The sequence below is a fragment of the Homo sapiens genome, chromosome 9 (assembly GCF_000001405.40).
Source record: "Homo sapiens chromosome 9, GRCh38.p14 Primary Assembly".
NCBI lineage: Eukaryota > Metazoa > Chordata > Mammalia > Primates > Hominidae > Homo > Homo sapiens.
The window spans coordinates 107,121,807-107,139,883 of record NC_000009.12 but is presented as its reverse complement, the minus strand read 5'-3'; the positions used below and the strand labels follow the sequence as shown (position 1 = coordinate 107,139,883).

Here is an 18,077-nt window from a genome sequence, read left to right as displayed (position 1 = left end):
ATACACTTATATCTCATTTAAGCCACTGTATTTGGACCTCTTTCTTATAATAGCTTAGCCTGTATCCCAACCAATACCCGATGCTACCTCATTTGTCACACAATTTTATGGAGACTTTGCATCCCTTACTAGAACTACTCAACAGCTTCCTTGATGATCTCGTTAACTCCAGTGTTCCTCCCAACACTAGTCTATCCTCCATGTTGGTGGTCTCCAACATTTTTGGCACCAGGGACCAGTTTTGTGGAAGACAATTTTTCCATGGATAGGGGAGTAGGGAATGGTTTCATCAGGCATTAGATAGATTCTTATATGGAGCAGATAACCCTTGCATGCGCAGTTCATAGTAAGGTTTACACTCCTATGAGAATCTAATGCCACTGTTGATCTGACAGGAGCTGGAGCTTAGGTGGTAATACTCACTCACCTACAGCTCACCTCCTGCTGTGCAGCCCGGTTCCTAACAGACTGTGCACGGGTACTGGTCCATGGCCCCTGGGTTGGGGGCCCCTGCTGTACGTTTCCTGCTGAAGGGATATATCTAAAATTCAAATCCACTTGGAGAAACTTCCCATCATCCTTTAAGACCCAAATTTATTAGAATAAGACATGGGATCTGTATGATCTGCCAATCCTCTGTCTCTACTCCCCCTAGGCACCTATCGTTCAAATCATGCACAGATCACCTTGAGGTTCCCTGGTCATGGACCGCGATGTTCTGACTCCCGTTTCTTTGCTTGAGTGCTCCTTCTGCCCCAAACACTTTTCCCTTTCAACTGCCTCACTAACTCTTGCTTTTCTCCCAGCTCTCAGCTCCAGCTGAGAGTTCTTCTCAAGACATCTTCTCTGGCCCCTCCTCACCCCAGGCTGTGTTTTAGTTCCCTTGTGTGTACTTTCACAGCTCCTTGGGAGTCCCTAATAGCACTCACTAACTTGGTTACAATTTATCAGCCTGCTAGCCTGAGCTGCTCTCAGAGCTTCAGAAAACCAACTGTAGTCACTGTTGGACCATGTTTCTCCCAGCCAGAGGCCATCCTCCAACACAGGAGCAATGCTTCTCCACAAGGACTTTGCCCACAACAAGGGCAGCAGCTCATGCTGACTGCCAAGATCAATCTTACTGTCTGCCCTAGTGACATCCAGATCCCAGTTTTCCCTTTTCTTCTTTCAGAGAGCCCATTCTTCTCAGCTTGCACAACTGATCAGAGGTGGGGTGACTCGCTAAGTTACCAACTCCCAGCCTGAGATTCTACTTGCATCGTGCTCAGCAGTTGCCAGTAGCAGTCTCCAATGTGTAGATGGCAACCAGCATAGATCCTGGGCAGTGATGATGTGCGGTCACCAGCCAGAGAGGCAGGTGCTGGGAGCAAAGGGGAAATAGAGCAGAGCGGGGTGGATGTCCAGCTTAGTCTCTGCAGCTCACAGTGCTAGCCTGTGATTTCACAGTTGGCTCTACAAAACAGGCAGTGGGCCAAATTTGGCCCACGGAATGTAGTTTGTTGGCCCCTGCCCTAGATAATCAACAGAACAATAAATCAAGCCCTGGTTTGTAGTGTTTGCCAATTTCTGTGGTACAAATACTCCCACCATGGCCAATTTCAAGTTGCCAACATGACCCCACTGAATATTGGGCTGGGAAGACACGCAGTAGCACACGATTATGTAATATTTCCACCTTAAAGATACAATACGCGTGACCTCAACATCAGAGCTGACAGTAAAACACAGTGAAATAATAATGATTTTTGAGTATTTATTACTCTTGTTTATAATGATTTACTTACTTGTAAATTTCTATGATTTAGTATTTAATAATAGCTGAAAATTTAACAGTCCTTGGTCCGTAGCACACCACTGCGCTGGGTCTCTCACTACTCCAGCCATATGGGAGGGAATCGAGAAAAGACACCCAAAAGAGAGATCTGACACAGATCTCTTGACATGGAAGCTTTGACATAGAAGGTTTAAACTCTTCTATTCCTTCCACTGAAGACTTTATCTCCTAGGCAATGTCCAATTGGGATCTTAGTCTCACAAAGATGAGATATTTTTCCTTCGGGACAGAGTGAAAGGGGTTTTTGAGCACCCCCTAGTGGTTACAGTGTGTCACCAATATGAACTCCACATATTCTGTGTTCTTTTGCGTTCTACTCCCATTAGGTGCTGTTGGCCGTGTACCTACTGTGTGCCAGGTACTTTTTTGGAAACATTCTATACGTTTTATTGCCTAATATTTACAGCAAACTTGCAAGTCAACATTCTTGTGTAAATTTTACAGATAAAGAAACTAAGGCTCAGAGAGGTTAAGCAACTAGCCCAAAGGCCACACAGCTAGGTCACATCAGACATAGCATTCAAATCCTAGAAGTGGCTGCCTCCCAAGCTTTGTACTGTCTTTTGCTCCTCTTTGACATCTTTTTTTTTTAACTTTTATTTTAGGTTCAGGGGTACATGTACAAGTTTGTCATGTCATGTGGGTTTGTTGTACAGATTATGTCATCACCAGGTATTAAGCCTAGTAACCATTAGCTATTTTTCCTGATCTTCTCCCTTCTCTTACCCTTTGCCCTCTGACAGGTCCCAATGTGTGTTGTTCCCCTTGATGTGTCCATGTGTTTTCATCATTTAGCTCCTACTTATAAGTGAGAACATGTGGTTTTCGGTTTTCTGTTCCTCTGTTAGTTTGCTAAGGATAATGGCCTCTAGCTCCATCCATGGCCCTGAAAAGGACATGATCTCGTTCTTTTCATGGCTGCATAGTATTCCATGGTATATATGGACCACATTTTCTTTATCCAGTCTATCATTGGTGGGCACTGGAAGACAACCTAGGCAATACCATTCACGACATAGGCACGGGCAAACACTTCATGATGAAGATGCCGAAAGCAATTGCAACAAAAGCAAAAATGTGACAAATGGGATCTAATTAAACTAAAGAGCTTCCGCACAGCAAAAGAAACTATTAACAGGGTAAACACACAACCTACAGAGTGAGAGAAACTATGGATCCTTTGACACCTTTAATTCCAGTACACAGCCACCTCAGAAACAGAGGGGAGACTGATGTGGCAGGCACACTGGATGTCACGGCCTTTGCTTCCCTTCTCTGTTTCTCAGTTAAGTGGACAGTGGTTCTGGAGAACTCAGGCATGGGAAATACATGTTACAGAAGGTCATTTACAGAAACAAATGAAACCCTCACATTTCAAAGGTTCAGGAGTAAACTGGACAAGCAGACAAATCCAGTATGGCAGAGACAGGCCTTGCAGCCTCTAGGAGCTGTGTGTTGATCACCGTGCTATAATGCACATCTCTTGTCTCATAGTTGCCCAGTTGAGGTGGACTTTGACTTATGACATGGTTCTGCCACCCCATCCCACTTCATGGGCAAGTTAGGGAATATCCCTGATACCTTAGCCTCGTCAGATAGGAAAGCTTTCCAGAATAGACTAAAGGTGGAGGGGGTAGTGTATCAGTTCCTTATTGCTGCTGTACCAAATTACCATAAGCTTTGTGGCTTAAAACAGCACAGATTTATTATCTTATAGTTCTATAGGTCAGAAGTCCAACCCAGGTCTCACTGGGCTCAAAGTAGGGTGTCAGTAGGGCTGTACTTCTTGGTGGAGGCTTTAGAGGAACATCCGTCTCCCCGCCTTTTCCAGCTTCCAGAGACCACCCGTATTCTTCAACTCGTGTGCCGCTTTTTCCACCTTCATAGAAACATTGCCTCTCTCTGACTCTGCCTCCATAGTGGCAGCTCGCTCTCTGACTCAGCTGGGAAATGTTCTCCACTTTTAAGGACTCCATGTGATCAGATTGGGCACGCCCAGATAATCCAGTATAATCTCCCAATTTCAAGGTTTGTACCCTTAATCACATCTGCAAAGTCTCTTTTGCCCTGTAAGGATTTGGGGATTAGGGCATGGACATCTCTGGGGGTCCAATTTGCTCCATACCATAGAGGTTAAAGCAAACAACAGAACAACAGCTAGAGAGCACTGGATGTTCAAACCAGGGAAGCTAACATTCACCCTCAAGGGACTAGAAGTGGGAGACAGACTTAAGAAATGTGTACATTGGGAAGACAAAGGAGTAGACCAAAGAGCAAGGACAGAGCCAAGACCAGACAGAGAGGGTCTGCAATAGTTGGAGGACAAGCAGGGAATGGTGGAGTCTAACTTGTATGTTTACTGAGTACTGACTGGGCCAGCCTTGACTCCGTGGGTAATGGGAGATAATATCTTACCATTTTTTTTAACCTAACAGTTTTAAATAGGGGTAAGACCTGATCAAATCTGTATTGCAGAAAGAAAAGTCTGATGGCAAGACTAGGGGGTAGATTGGAGGTGCCAACCCTGAAAGCAGAGAGACCAGTTACAAGAAAAGAGGTGATGAGAGATTTACCCAGGACTGTGGCAAGAGAATGAAGACACGAGACACTTCCTGGGAAGTCAGGTGATGGTGCAGAGGATGCAAAGCAGTCGGTCAAACTGGGGGCCCATTGCTCCTGAGTCCTTCCTCCCTTTCCCTCTTGTCATCCCTTGTCGCTTGATCATATTTTTTATAGACTCCTTTTATTTTGACTCCACCCTCAAAGAGATGGGCACACTCAGGATTAGATGTTCATTCCATATACATTCACCCTCACCAGTATCTACCTCAAACACTTGACTCCAGCCTCTGCTGACCCAGCTCCATCCAGCTGGTATCTCCTTGTACTTCCAGACACTAGATGGGGAGGGAGGTAGGTTGAATCTTCAGTGAGGCTTCGCTGCACTCTCTGATCCTGGGTCTAGTGACTGGGACCTCCCTGCTGGGGCCCTTGAATGCTTCTCAATGATCTTTTGCTGTTCATAGGGGATGCCCTTGGAGCACCTTCCCAGGCACACATAATCTGTCTTTTCCCAACCATAGGACTGGCCTTCTGTCTTGGGTCCCACTTTCTGTGCGTTTCCTGCCTTCAGAGGGTTGGGGTGCAGCTTCCCACACCTGGATTTCCCAATAGTCATCAAGTGTTCCTCACTCCAGGGCAGTAGTTCTTGAAGGGTTGTCTGTGCACCTCTGCAGGGTCACTGAGATCTTTTCAGGGAACCCTCAGAGTCAAAACTATTTTCACAATAGTACTTAGATATCATTTGCCTTTTTCCGTTCTCATTCTCTCATATAGTAAAGTTTTCCAGAGGGTATTAAAATAAAATGTGTCAACACCTGGAGGATCTCTGTAAATCCTGGAGTCGGGACTTTCCAAATGACCAATGCGTGATATTACAAAACACGCATGTGCAAGGCCAGGTGCGGCGGCTCACGCCTGTAATCCCAGCATTTTCAGAGGCCAAGGCGGGCAGATAGCTTGACTCCAGGAGTTCAGCACCAGCCTGGGCAACATGGCCAAAAACCTGTCTCTACAAAAAATACAAAAATTAGCCAGGCATGGTTGCACACGCCTGTAGTCCCAGCTACTAGGGAGGCTGAGGCAGGAGGATCACCTGAGCTCGGGAGGCAGAGGTTGCAGTGAGCTGAGATGGCACCACTGCACTCCAGCCTGAGTGACACAGTAAGGCCCTGTCTCAAACAAAAACAAAAACAAAAACCAACCAGTCAAACAAACCCAAAACATGCATGTGTAAAAGAACCATTCAAAACACAAGATAGACCAACAAATTTTAATGTTACTGAGTATGAAAAGTTTGTTGATAGGTATTCAGATGTCACATTGCAACTAATTTCTTTTTTTTTTTTTTTTTGAGACGGAGTTTCGCTCTGTCGCCCAGGCTGGAGTGCAGTGGCATGATCTCAGCTCACTGCAAGCTCCACCTCCCAGGTTCACGCCATTCTCCTGCCTCAGCCTCCCGAGTGGCTGGGACTACAAGCGCCCGCCACCACGCCTGGCTAATTTTTTTGTATTTTTAGTAGAGACGGGGTTTCACAGTGGTCTGCATCTCCTGACCTCGTGATCCACCCACCTCAGCCTCCCAAAGTGCTGGGATTACAGGCGTGAGCCACCCCGCCCCGCCACATTGCAACAAATTTTTAGGAAGCTACCACACGCTGAGTTTTGGTATGAAGAACAACCACAATTATCTGCAAAAAGCAGATAACTACCTATCTGTGTGAAGTTGGATTTTCTTTACATACTTCAAATGAAACAATGTATTGCAACAGATTGACAGAAGAAACAGATGAGGAAATCCAGCTCTTGATGTGCACAAAGGTAAAACAACGCCATTCTTCTAATTTTTTTTTGTTTCAGAAAACATAGTTTGTTAAAATAAAAGTATGTTATTTGTGTTAACGGATATTATTTTAAAATACATTAACAAATATTTAAAACATTTTCAGTTTTAATTCCCTATGCAGTATTGATAGGGCAGTTGGGGTTCAGCTGCCCACAGCTGGTCATTCACATACACAAAACTCTTTGAGGGTGTCAATAATTTGTATTAGTTGTTAAAAGGGTCCTGAGACCAAAAAATTTGAGAACCACAATTCCAGAGTCTCAGCTGGTGACTGGATTCCCTGCTGTGGAGCTTGGCCGAACAGATGAGATTCTTCCATTCTGGGATTATAACTGGGTCATCTTGTCTTCTGAGATACTGACAATCCCTAGTCCTATTGTCTTTCAAAGCTGTCCTGGCTGCACACACCTGACTGATTCCTAGCTCAAGGTGACTTTGGGCAAATGAACCTCAGTTTCTCTGAGCCTCAGTTTCCCTGTTTAGAAAATGTGGGTTTAATACTTAGGAAGCTGTTCTCCTGCCGCAGTTAGGAGGGGTAACTCTGGCTCCATTTTCTAATCAGTAAGCTCATTCTGTCCAAGAAACCCATTATGTCTTACAATCAGTTGCTGTCTTGCAATCACGGAAATGACATATTTGATGCCCTACAGCAGTGGTCTCCAACATTTTTGGCACCAGGGACCAGTTTCACGGAAGACAATTTTTCAGTGGGGTTTGGGGGATGATCTTGGGATGAAACCTTTCCACCTCACACCATCGGGCATTAATAAGATTCTCATAATGAGCAGGCAACGTAGATCCCTCGCATGTGCAGTTCGCACTCCTATGAGAATGTACTGCTGCTGCCCATCTGACAGGAGGTGGAGCTCAGGCGGTAATGCTTGCTTGCTTGCCACTCACCTCCTGCTGTACAGCCCAGTTCCTAACAGGCTGTGGACTGGTACCGGTCCGTGGCCTGGGGGTCAGGGACCCCCGCCCTACAGAGCATCCAGAGTAATTTTCTATCCTTGTGGAAACTGAGAGCAAGAAAGAAGGAAGTCCAGCACTTTTATTGTTTGCTGCTGTGTTGGCGACTGGCACAGAGACACTGAGCACGTAGATGTCGGGTAGATGTCACATGAGTCTTGGTGCCCTTTAAACTATGGTTAGAGCCCTCTGGCACTTTATATGAGGGCAGTTCTGCGGGAGAAAGCCTGGGATCCAGGCAGTTGATGAGGGCCACTGAAATACACAGGAAGGCGGCCCTAGAATGTCAACCTCTGAGGACAGGGACCTGCTGTTCTGGTTCACCTTTGAATCCCCAGTATCCAGAATGGTGCTTGGTACACAACAGGCACTCAAGAAATGCATATTGAATGAATACGTGTAAAATGTAAGTGCCTAGAGAAAAAGCCAGGAGGTGAATATAACACACATGTTTTGGCAATGGGGCCTTGATTTTCTTTTTTTCTCTGTCTTTGGATTTTCTCAGTTTCTATAATAAGCAGGTATTATAGTCACAATGCAGACAAGTGAAATACGCTTCTAAAAAAGCTGCAGTTCAAATGTGACCTGGCCACTTGCTGGCTGTGTGACCTTGGGTAAGTCACTTCTGTCTGCATCTGTTTCCCTGTCTGTAATAATACCTACCTGATTTGGTTGTTGCGAGGATTAAATCACACCAGTGCTAGGGACATAAAAAGGACTCAATGTCGACTATTCTTTTGTTGTTTGCATACTAATCATGTTTTGATATTTTAGTGGATACCTCAAGACTCGACCTGAAGGCTTCAAGGAAAGTGACAGTTATGGGATGGAAAAAAATCGGGGTTGGAACTGGTTGACCTGCCACTTACGGGCCAAGTGACCTCATGCAGGGTCACAGTCTTCTCTGTGCCACTGTCCTTTTTGCCCCACAGAGACTTTTCTGTGAATCTAAATGAGGTGATGATGTAAGGTGCCCTCCAGGTGTGAGTCATTATTTTTATTACCTAGAAGGTTAAAAAAAAAGAATAGGACTCTCCAGGCCTTTCTCCTGTCCCTAATGGGGTTACTGCCCTCCTTTGGTTTGAACAGAGAGTTCCTTGTCCCTGAAAGTCCCCAGGGCCTGGTCACGGGGCAGTGCCCACAGCCAAGGGTGGCTTTTCTGCCAGGGCTTGCGAGGCTCCTGCCTCCAGATAACTCTGGGTCTCCCCGTCTCCTGCCCCAGTGCTTCCCACACAGCTGCGGCCTCATTATCCAGGGTGACAGTGAGCAGCTGAAAGGAGCTTAGCCAGGGGTAAGCTTTCAAGTGTTCATAATAAAGCTTCAAAGTTCACACCTTCATTAAGATGTGAAGAGGCAGGTCCTCCCCCACTTCTCCTGGGGCTATTGTTGCTTCCCCATCTGGCTGCAGATTCAAAAGACAAGTGGGATTGGTTTTCTTTGTCCAGACAGCTCTCCTAACCAGAAAGGCTAGACCTGTTTGTTAAGAAAGCTTCTATCCTGCAGCTCCTTCAGACCTGCTGTGAAGGTGTCACAGACGCTGGGGAATTGGGGCATTTCTCAGGGTTGGAAGGGCTGTCTCTGAGAGGCAAGACTGGGCTTGTTCAGTGGGGTCTCAAGGGAGTAGACCTGGGGCTAAGGAGGTGGAAGGAAAGGCAGGTCAGTTTTAGACTACCAGAAGGAAGAGCTCCCGAACAGGCGGGGATGTGCAAAGGCAGACCTTGGTGCTTGGGGCCGTCATGTGCTCCCTGTCAGTGAGGCCTGTGTGCTGCAGAAGACACCCGAGCTGTGGACGTGATGTTGGACAGGCAGATATTTCAGGCCCCTTCCAGCCCTGTCACGCTGGGTTCTCTTAAATCCATGACCCATGCTTCTGCGTAATCATCTACAATTTAGTTTTTTTTCCTTTGAATTGCTTTTGTCCCCCAGACAGTCTTCATGGGTGAACGTTTGGCCCCCCCCCTTGCCTTTTCTGTTTTTTTTTTTTTTTTTTGAGACAAAGTGCAGCGGTGCCATCTCGGCTCACTGCAACTTCCACCTCTTGATGAGGCTCAAGTGATTCTCCCGGCCTCATCCTTCCCAGTAGCTGGGACTACAGGCTTGTGCCACCACGCCTGGCTAATTTTTGTATTTTTAGTAGAGATGGGGTGTCGCCATGTTGTCCAGCCAGTCTCGACTCTTGGCCTCAAACAATCCGTCTGCCTATGCCTCCCAAAGTTCTGGGATTACAGGTGTGAGCCACTAAGCCCAGCCACCTTTTCTGTTTTCTTTTATTCATTTGAGAGTAAAGCTATCCAGACATCTTGGAGCATCCTTTGATACTGAGAAATTGTTTGCTTGCACTGGCTAAACGTGCAGGTTCTAAGGGACCCCTTTCCTCTACACTCCCTGCTCCAGGACAGGGCAGAACTCTCAGAAGTCCCAGTCACCAGCTGAAGCTGAGACAGTACGAATGTGTTCTCATAGGTAGGAGACAGCCTCAAAAAGAGGCCTCTCTTCTGTCTCCTAAGAAAGGATACAGAGGGAATTTTCTGTGAGGGTGCACACCCTTCCGATGGTCCTCTTGTTTTAATGATGAGCCGTGAAGCAGGAGGGTAGTTTTTAGGTGAGACAACAGGTGAATTGGAATGAGTGATTGCAGATGAGCAAGTTTCATGGCACATTTTTTTTTTTCTATTGAACAGAAAGAGGAGGCTGAAAAGGAAAACCCGTGGTGTACTGCAAAAATAGTGGGCTTTGCAAACAGGCCTGGGTTTGGGTCACGGCTCTGCCACTTAATAGTTGGGGGCTTTGGGTGTGGCACCTCCATGCTCTGAGCCTCAGTTTCTTCCAGTTTCACAGGGCAAACAATACCCACTCTGCTGGGTGCTTGTAAGGTTGGATGTGAAATACCCATGGAAAACTTTGGAGGCCCTTATTAAGTGTAAATTCCCTCTCCCCTATCATTATATTCAATAGTCGCTCTTTGGAAAATTGAGTTATTGATTGGTCTCTTGATAAAAGATTATTCTATAGTATAATTATTTCTATTTTTAACTGTTCATGAATATGATTGAGACTGTTTCTTTGTCTTTTAGGTATCTTTCCTGCAGACATATTGATGTGTACTGCATTGTGTGAACAAGGAAGTTGGTTGTAGCAGTGTTTGTAGTAGCCAAAAATAAGAGCTGGCCTATCTATTCCTTCCACACTGCATTAAAGAAAGTTCGATTGCATCTGTACCAAGAAGTACCAGGCAGCCACTAAAAAGAACATAGTTCTAGGTGAACTGAGAAGCAAAGATCCATAAAGTGTATTGCTAAGAGTAAGTTGCAGCACAAGACATAGTGTGACACCATTCTTTCAAAGGGAATTTGTATGTATCTCTCTACAAAGTACGTATCAGTGCAAAGAAAGGGTCTTCAAGGAAACATTAGATAGTAGTGTCTGGTGGGGATGTGGAGTGGCGTTGGCATGTGTGAAAAGGGGAAGGAATTTTGTTACTCTGTATACAACTGGGTTGGAATATTTTACAATGAGAATGTATTCACATCTTACTAGAGTCATATTTTAAAAGATAAATAAAGATTGTACCTTTTGCTGCCACTCAAAAGGTTCCACCCATACTAGTGAAAAGCAGTTCTTTCGATCAAATTAAGCAAACAGCTCTTTTCCTTCCCTTTCAAGGAGTCAAGATTGCCAGGATGAGGGGCTCAGAGGGAAGCCATCTACTGGTATAGGGAGCTGGGCTGTGTGGAGTGAGATGGACAGAATTTAGGACACTGCCACGCTAGACAAATGTGGGAAGAACACTTCTTCATTCATTCTTTCATGCAATAGATACTTATTCAGGGCCTGCGACCTATTAGGCACTGTTCTAGGTGCTGAGGATAACAGGACAGAAGCAAGTCCTTGTCCTAACAAAAGTTGCATTTCATTGGGGGAGTTAGATATGAAACTAACACATGCAAACATGACGTCAATGTTCTGCAAAGACAAATAAAATAGGATAATGGGATGAAGAGGGAAGGAGTTGAGGTGCGGATGGGGCTGGCATGCTGGGAAGCAGGGCTTTGAAATAACATAGTTGGGGAGACCTTTCTGAAGAGGCTGAGTGAAGACCTGCATGATATAAAATAAGGGAGTGGCTCCCACATCAAAGCAGAAGCCTTGGAGTGGGACAAGCATGGTGTGGTCATGAAACTGCAAGAAGCTTCTGAACAGCGGAAGGCAGGTCACCGGGCAGGGGCCTTTTAGGGCATAGCAGGGACTTGAGATTATTTTGCACACACAGTGAGAAGCCATTGGAGGGTTTTGAGGGAAGGATGCTGTGATGGCTACATTTTGGAAAAGGCCATTCTGACTGCTTTGAGGGAAAAGAGGCTGTGGGAATGCGGCATCGTAAGTCCCCAAACTAGCTGCATAGCTATTGCAATTTTCCAAGAGAGCCATGATGATGGCTTGGGCTGCAGTGATCGTGGGGGAGGTGGAGAGAAATGGTTGGAAGCATGGTGTATGTAGAAGGTAGAGCTAACAGGATTTTTTCTGCAGGTTATGGGAGAAAGAGAGGAGTTGAGGATGACATGTCTGGGAAACTCCAGGCAAATGTGCACTTTCATGATCAGAAGAACATTGTTAATAACAAGCCCTCCAGGGAAGCTTTACAATTTTCTGTGAGGTTTAACATCCATTTTCTGACTTTATCTTCTAAGGTTAAACAAAAAACCTGTTGTTCCTATTTGACAGAGGAAGACATTGAGGCTTCAACAGGAGATGTGACTTGTCGAAGGTCCAGACCTGCAGCCTAGAGGAACCATGTTTTGATCCTCTGAAGTCCTGTGCTCAGGATGAGTTCTGTCCATGGTCTTCACCAGGGATGGCTTCTACGTTAGCAAGTTGTGTGAAGTGGCCTCCAGGAGGCTCTCTATGGAAGATATCTGTGAGCCACGTGAGTGAAGGAGGAGGTGGCGGTGAAGGAGGAAGGCGCTTTGCAGCACATGAGATTTCAGCACCCATTGTTAGGTTCCTTTCAAATGATGGTGAAAAACAGCTCATGCTACAGCAGCCTGGCTGGGCCATCAGAAACAGGTAGTGGCTGCTGAAATCTCCACAGGATAAGGCAGACAGTGACTCCCTGCAACCCCCAGCACCACAGTGCCAGCCACAGTGGGTTGCTTTTTAGAGAGCTGACCCAAGTAACCTTAAGCCAGTCTTCCTGAAAGGTCAGCTCCTTCCATTGCCTCCTTTTCCTTATCTCCTCTTCATTCCTGAACCCACTGCCTCCTGGCTCCTGCCTCAGTTATTCCAACAAAAAAATTCTGACTCTCTCCTAGCCCAAACCAGTGAGACTTCTTCTCTCTCCTTACCTGCCTACCTCCCTGCAGTATTTGATGCTAGTCATCCTCCCTCCTTCTTGTCACTGTCTCCTTCCTTGGGCTCTGTGCTGCTTCCTGCTTCTATTTCTCCTCCCACACCAATGTCTTTGTGTTCTTCCTCTGCCTTGGAGCCTCCTTCTTCCACTCACAGTGCCTCCTCATACACCAGTCTACCCGAGATTTCCCTCCCTCCCCCTTCCCTGACTTCCTCGAGGCTCCTCTTCCCTTCTCTTCCCCACCTGTACTGCCCACTGAGCTCACCAGCTCTATGCTTTCAGCTCTTCCTTTTATAGAGATATTCCCAATCTATGTCTCCAGCTCTGAGTTTGTGAGCTTCCTTATCTCCATTTGCTGCCTGGACCTCCGAACTCCCAGGCAGAGATAAAAGTCTCGAAAGCAGCTGGGGTACCCAGGAAATGAGTGGAGAAGAGGTCTGTTTGACCTGGACTGGGGGTAAATAAGACTAGAAAGGGTAGGTTGAGACCAGATTGTTAGGGGTCCTGAAAGCTATGGTAAAAGAATTCCATGCATCTTGAATGCAGGATAACAAACAGAAGTTTCTAGGCCCAGAGAAATGGAATGATTGTGTTTTGGAAGGATTGCTCAGCAGCCTTGTGGCAGGTGGACTAGACTGGATTTTACTGGTTCAAGAGAGAAGGGGAGGAAGCCTGAGGAGTGACTAGTTTAGGAAGACATAAACAAACAAAGAAGCCAACTTCTGAGTATAGAGGGTAGGATTTGAGTGAGAATGGAAGAAAATGGTGAGAAGGGAGGAAGGTTTCAAGCTTGTCTTATAGCAGACTCGGTCACAGCTGTGCTGTCTCTCTCCCCAAGGTAGGATGTATTATATATCTTGCTTAGGTTTTTCTTCCTAAAGCCTAGCCTGGTGCTAATTTTTATGGTTCTATGAACGAGACAAAATATTTTTCTGTGTGAGACCAAATAGACTCATTAATGCTTTGCTCTGACCAACTGGGCAAATCCGCATGCTTTTCATTGCTTCTGACAGCGTCAGGTTATTGGTTTGTTTACAGGCCAGCCCAGGGCTTTATATAGTCTACATCACACTCAAACTCACATAATTGTATTTGATTCTTACAGTCAAGCAGTCAAGCAGATATTGCAGTTGCCATTTTGCAGATGAGGAAAATGAAGGTCAGAGAGAAGTGACATGCCTGGGGTCACACAGTCATCAGTAGCAGAGTCTTTTGAACCCTATCTTTTGACTCTTTGACCAGTGCTTCCATCAAGCCATGGTAACTGACTGATTAAACCCATCAGGGTGTCTGAAATCTTCAGCACTAAAGGCATAGAAGCTTTGTAGTAGACATGAGCTGTTTTGCCTGTTCAGTTTACAAATGTCTTTTTTTTTTTAATTTGTTCCTTATTAGTGAAGATAATGTTAGCTGCTATAACAAATTCGCAAAATGTATAATGTTTTCAACATGATAGAATATTCACAATGGATGTTTGGTGGGCAGTTTTCCTCCATGTGGTAAAGATTTAGGGACCTAGACTTCTTTTCGATTTTGTGTTTCTGCTATCTTTCATTCACAGCTTGCAAAGTTTGATGGGCCTAGAGGCAATACATATTACTTTTCCTCACTTTCCACTCATTGGACCCCAGTTACATGGTCACACGTGTCAAGAGGCTAGGAACTATCATTAGAATGTGTAATTAGGGAGAAGAGAAACAGACTTGGGAAAGAGTGAGCCATTCATCACCATAGGTGAGCTGCTACTCTCTGTAGCTCAGCCCACCAGCCCAGTTGGAGTTGCCTGACTCCTACCCTCCACCCCTCATCTAAGATGTGGGATGACACAGCCCTGGCCCATCAGCTTATTTCATGCCCTGCATGTGGTGATTGGTTCAGGTTCTGACACATGACCTAGGCTGGTTCAATGAGACTCAATCCGAGGACTTCATTGAAACTTTTGGCAAAGAGAAGCTCTCTTTCCACCAAGCTTGCTGAGCTGTAGAGTTATGAACCAGTGAGCCGCCATTTTGTCAGCATGATAGGAGAAGTGGCTTGAGAATGAAGGTGACAAGTAAGAAAGCAGAGCTGAGAGATACAGATACATTGCAACGATATCCTTTGAGTATCTATATTCACGCATGTCTGATCAGTCCTACCTCAGAATTTTTCAGCTAAGATAACGAGTGGATCATTTAAAAAGGATTCTTTTTCTTGAGCCTAGTTTAAATTGAGATTCTGTTACTTATAAAGCAAGAAGCCTAATAGAGGCTCATAGAGGCCCATTTGTAAAACTCTTGGACAACCTTCCATCTCTTCCCTCTAACCTCAAACCCAAGGGCTCTCTCCTCACCCTGCTCTCCTCTGTTAGAACACTCTGTCTGCTGCTGAGTGAATGGGCCCTCTGAGATGGGCCTGCCTTTGAGTTATCCCATCTCCATATGGCTGGACTACTCATTTTCTTACTTGTCTTTAAACAACCATGGGAAATGCTTTGAATCAAATACACCATTTGTTGTCTTCCTAAAGAGGTCAGAATTATTTAGAATCACATTTTTTTAATACCCTACTGAAATTATAGCAGAAAAACACTTATAAAAGGATGCAAACTCAGTAGAGGGTGTTGGTTTTACATTGGTTTCCCATATGAATGTACCAGTTTTGAATCCTGTAAGGAAAAACTCATCTAAAAATCAATTACACAAGAGTGTTTTAAAGGTCAGAGCATGGCGTCCATTCACAAAGTTTTCACTAGTACAAAAACATGGCAAAAATCTGGTAGAGTTTAGTGGACATGTAGCATCACATTCATGAAAACACACACTTTAAGATATTGAGAGAGACAGTAACATTACTATTAAGGAAGTTCAAAGAAAATGTATTGAAGTCCTAGGGCCATTGGAAGTTCTGTTGAAGAGGTGGCAGGAGCTAGGAGACTGCTCAGTTTTGGTTTTCACTGCTGGGGAGGACTGTAGGAACCCAGAGAGACTTTAGAAACCAATGCTTCACCCTCTTTCACAGTAAGCTCCAGCCACACTGCAGGTGGAACAGATCCTCACACATCTCACACTCTCAAGCTTCCTGAACCCTGCACATGTAAGGTACTTCTCACACTTCTTCACTTAGAAAATGTTATTTGAGTTGTCTCAAACATGACCACTTCAGTGATACTTTCTAGAGAAGAGTTAATCACCCTCTTTTCTGTGTTCCATAGTGCTTGCACACACTTCCATGTCGGAATTGATAACATTGTCTATTTTTGTTAATGGCTTCCTCATTTGTCTCCCTGGCTTAACTGTGAGTTTTTTTGAAAGCAGAGACTATGGCTCACCCATCTTTGTAGTTCCAGTAAATTTAGGCTAGAGCTTGGCATATACTCAATGTGTAAAAATGTAAAATAAATAGAAAAAAGCCACAAATCTTATAAAATTACACATGAAGATTTATGGGAGAGAGAAAGAAGTTTGCTTAGCTCCTAGAAGAACACTAATAACAGAATGGTCATTCAAAGAGATGGTGCTAAATGTTGTTCTGGACAGGTCAAATAAACTTTGTGCATACTGCAGTCTGTGTCTGACTTAATTGTTTTTTTCTCAGTCACATGGGAATAACTGCAACAGCTCTAATGAGTACTTTGAAATGAAGTGACCTGATTTCCCCACTTGCTTTATATAGACTGGTCCTTACTTGGTTAATACTAGGGTGGCCACTCTGCCTGGAAGAGGTCAAGTTCACACCTGTTGTTCCTGGTAACTATTTACAGTGCCCCAGTTACATCTCAAAAGTGTCTCAATGTGGATGTAAATTCTTTGGCCATTCTATTAGTGGAGAACTCTGTTGGTCTGAGATATCAAAGATAGAATTGGACTAAGAGACAGCTGCTTCTTAGTTGGAGACCTTGACTCTAGCCATTCTCCATGTCTTAACCATCAAGGAGGAAAATGTCACTCCTGGTGCCCTTCTGTGGCTTTCTGCATGGAAAAAATGGGAGTTTACTTTCTTTCTCTGTTAATGTATGGTAAAAATGTAGTTGATGTTCTTTATTATTATTTTAATCTTTAGAACCACCCTGCATAGATATTAGTTAAGTATTTTATAAAGAAGCTGGGGCCCAGAGAACTTCAGTAAATTGCTCAAGAGCACACGGCAAATAAGGATTAGGGTCAAACAATCTCATTTGTCTGACTCCAAGCTCATACTCCTTCTGCTTTGCAGCATTGCTAATAATTTAGCAAACTGCTTTTATACCCAAATTCCCTTATTTTGGAGCTAATTTTCTCCTGTCTAAATTATTAAGTAATGATGTAATTCTCTCCATACCAAAGAAGATCCTGCTTGGCATCTGTTTGTTGTAAAAGATCAGTCTGGTCTGTGAAGTTCAGTCTGTAGATTCATGCGTAGTTTCTGATAGGAAATGAGGATTAGGTTTGTGCGAACAAGTGTCTCTGTTGTAATTAATCCCAGCAATGATCTTTTGACTTAGGAACCATTAATAAATAATTAGAAAGGTATGACTGGAAAACATTTTAATTATTTATACTAGGGACAAACAGGAGAGTTAGAAGTGGGGAAAGGAATTAGATAGCAGAGCTAATAAAACTTTGCCTTGTGATTATTTCAGCATTGAAGATCACAGTATTGATTGCAATAGCAAAAATTTGGAAACCACCTACAATCTGGGCTATGTCCACACAATGAAATACTATGCAGCTGTGTAATAAGCGATTATAGGTACTTATCTATATGGAATGACACATCTAAAACATCAAGTATCTCTGCTGTCAAAATTATGAGGTTTCTTCCCCCCGCTTACGATTTATATGTATTTTCCAAGTTTTTTTATCACTAACATAAATTACGTGTATAATTTTTAAGCTAAACATGAAGGATTTAAGAGAATAGAAAACGCAAATTTCTCTCTGATCACTATCAAAAGGCTGTATGTTATTCAGTATCAACAAAGAAGGAAATCCTGCCACATGCTACAACATGGCTCAATCTTGAGGACATTATGCTAAGTGAAATGGGCCGTCACAGAAGGACAAATACTGTCTAATTGCACTTATATGAGGGATCAAAAATAGTTAAACACATAGAAACAGAGTCAAGTGGTGGTTGCCAAAGACTGGGGCAGGGGAAGATGAGTTTTTGTTTAATGGGTATAAAATTTCAGTTATGCAAGATGATTAAGTTCTAGAGATCTGCAGTATAGCATTGCACCTATAGTTAACGTTGCTGTATTTAAAATTTGTTAAGAGGGTAGATCTGAAGTTAAGTGTTCTTATTACATACAAAGAAAACTTTAAAGGCTGTATGTGTCCTGCAAGGCAATTTCCTGGTGCTGAGTCCTTCACCATTATCTGTAGGGAGTTTCCCTTCTGAGGACGTGGCAATATACGGTTCAGGTACTGAATGCCTTTTGTGTGCTGGAAACTGTGCTACAGGTTTTCCCCTGGGAGACCTTTTTAACTCCTCCTATCAACCCTGTAAAATAGACATTATTATTCCCATTTTGCAGATGAGAAACTGATTTTGAGGGTCCTGAA

General features: G+C 44.2%; 2 annotated features.

Moving 5' to 3' along the window:
* Window positions 7,874-8,686: an enhancer, noted in NCBI's record as "NANOG-H3K27ac-H3K4me1 hESC enhancer chr9:109893479-109894291 (GRCh37/hg19 assembly coordinates)". NCBI's record gives its function as "activates a minimal SCP1, AML or CMV promoter by ChIP-STARR-seq in naive and primed H9 embryonic stem cells {active_cell/tissue: H9 hESC(naive and primed)}" and the evidence as "EXISTENCE:reporter gene assay evidence [ECO:0000049][PMID:30033119]".
* Window positions 8,687-9,501: an enhancer, noted in NCBI's record as "NANOG-H3K27ac-H3K4me1 hESC enhancer chr9:109892664-109893478 (GRCh37/hg19 assembly coordinates)". NCBI's record gives its function as "activates a minimal SCP1, AML or CMV promoter by ChIP-STARR-seq in naive and primed H9 embryonic stem cells {active_cell/tissue: H9 hESC(naive and primed)}" and the evidence as "EXISTENCE:reporter gene assay evidence [ECO:0000049][PMID:30033119]".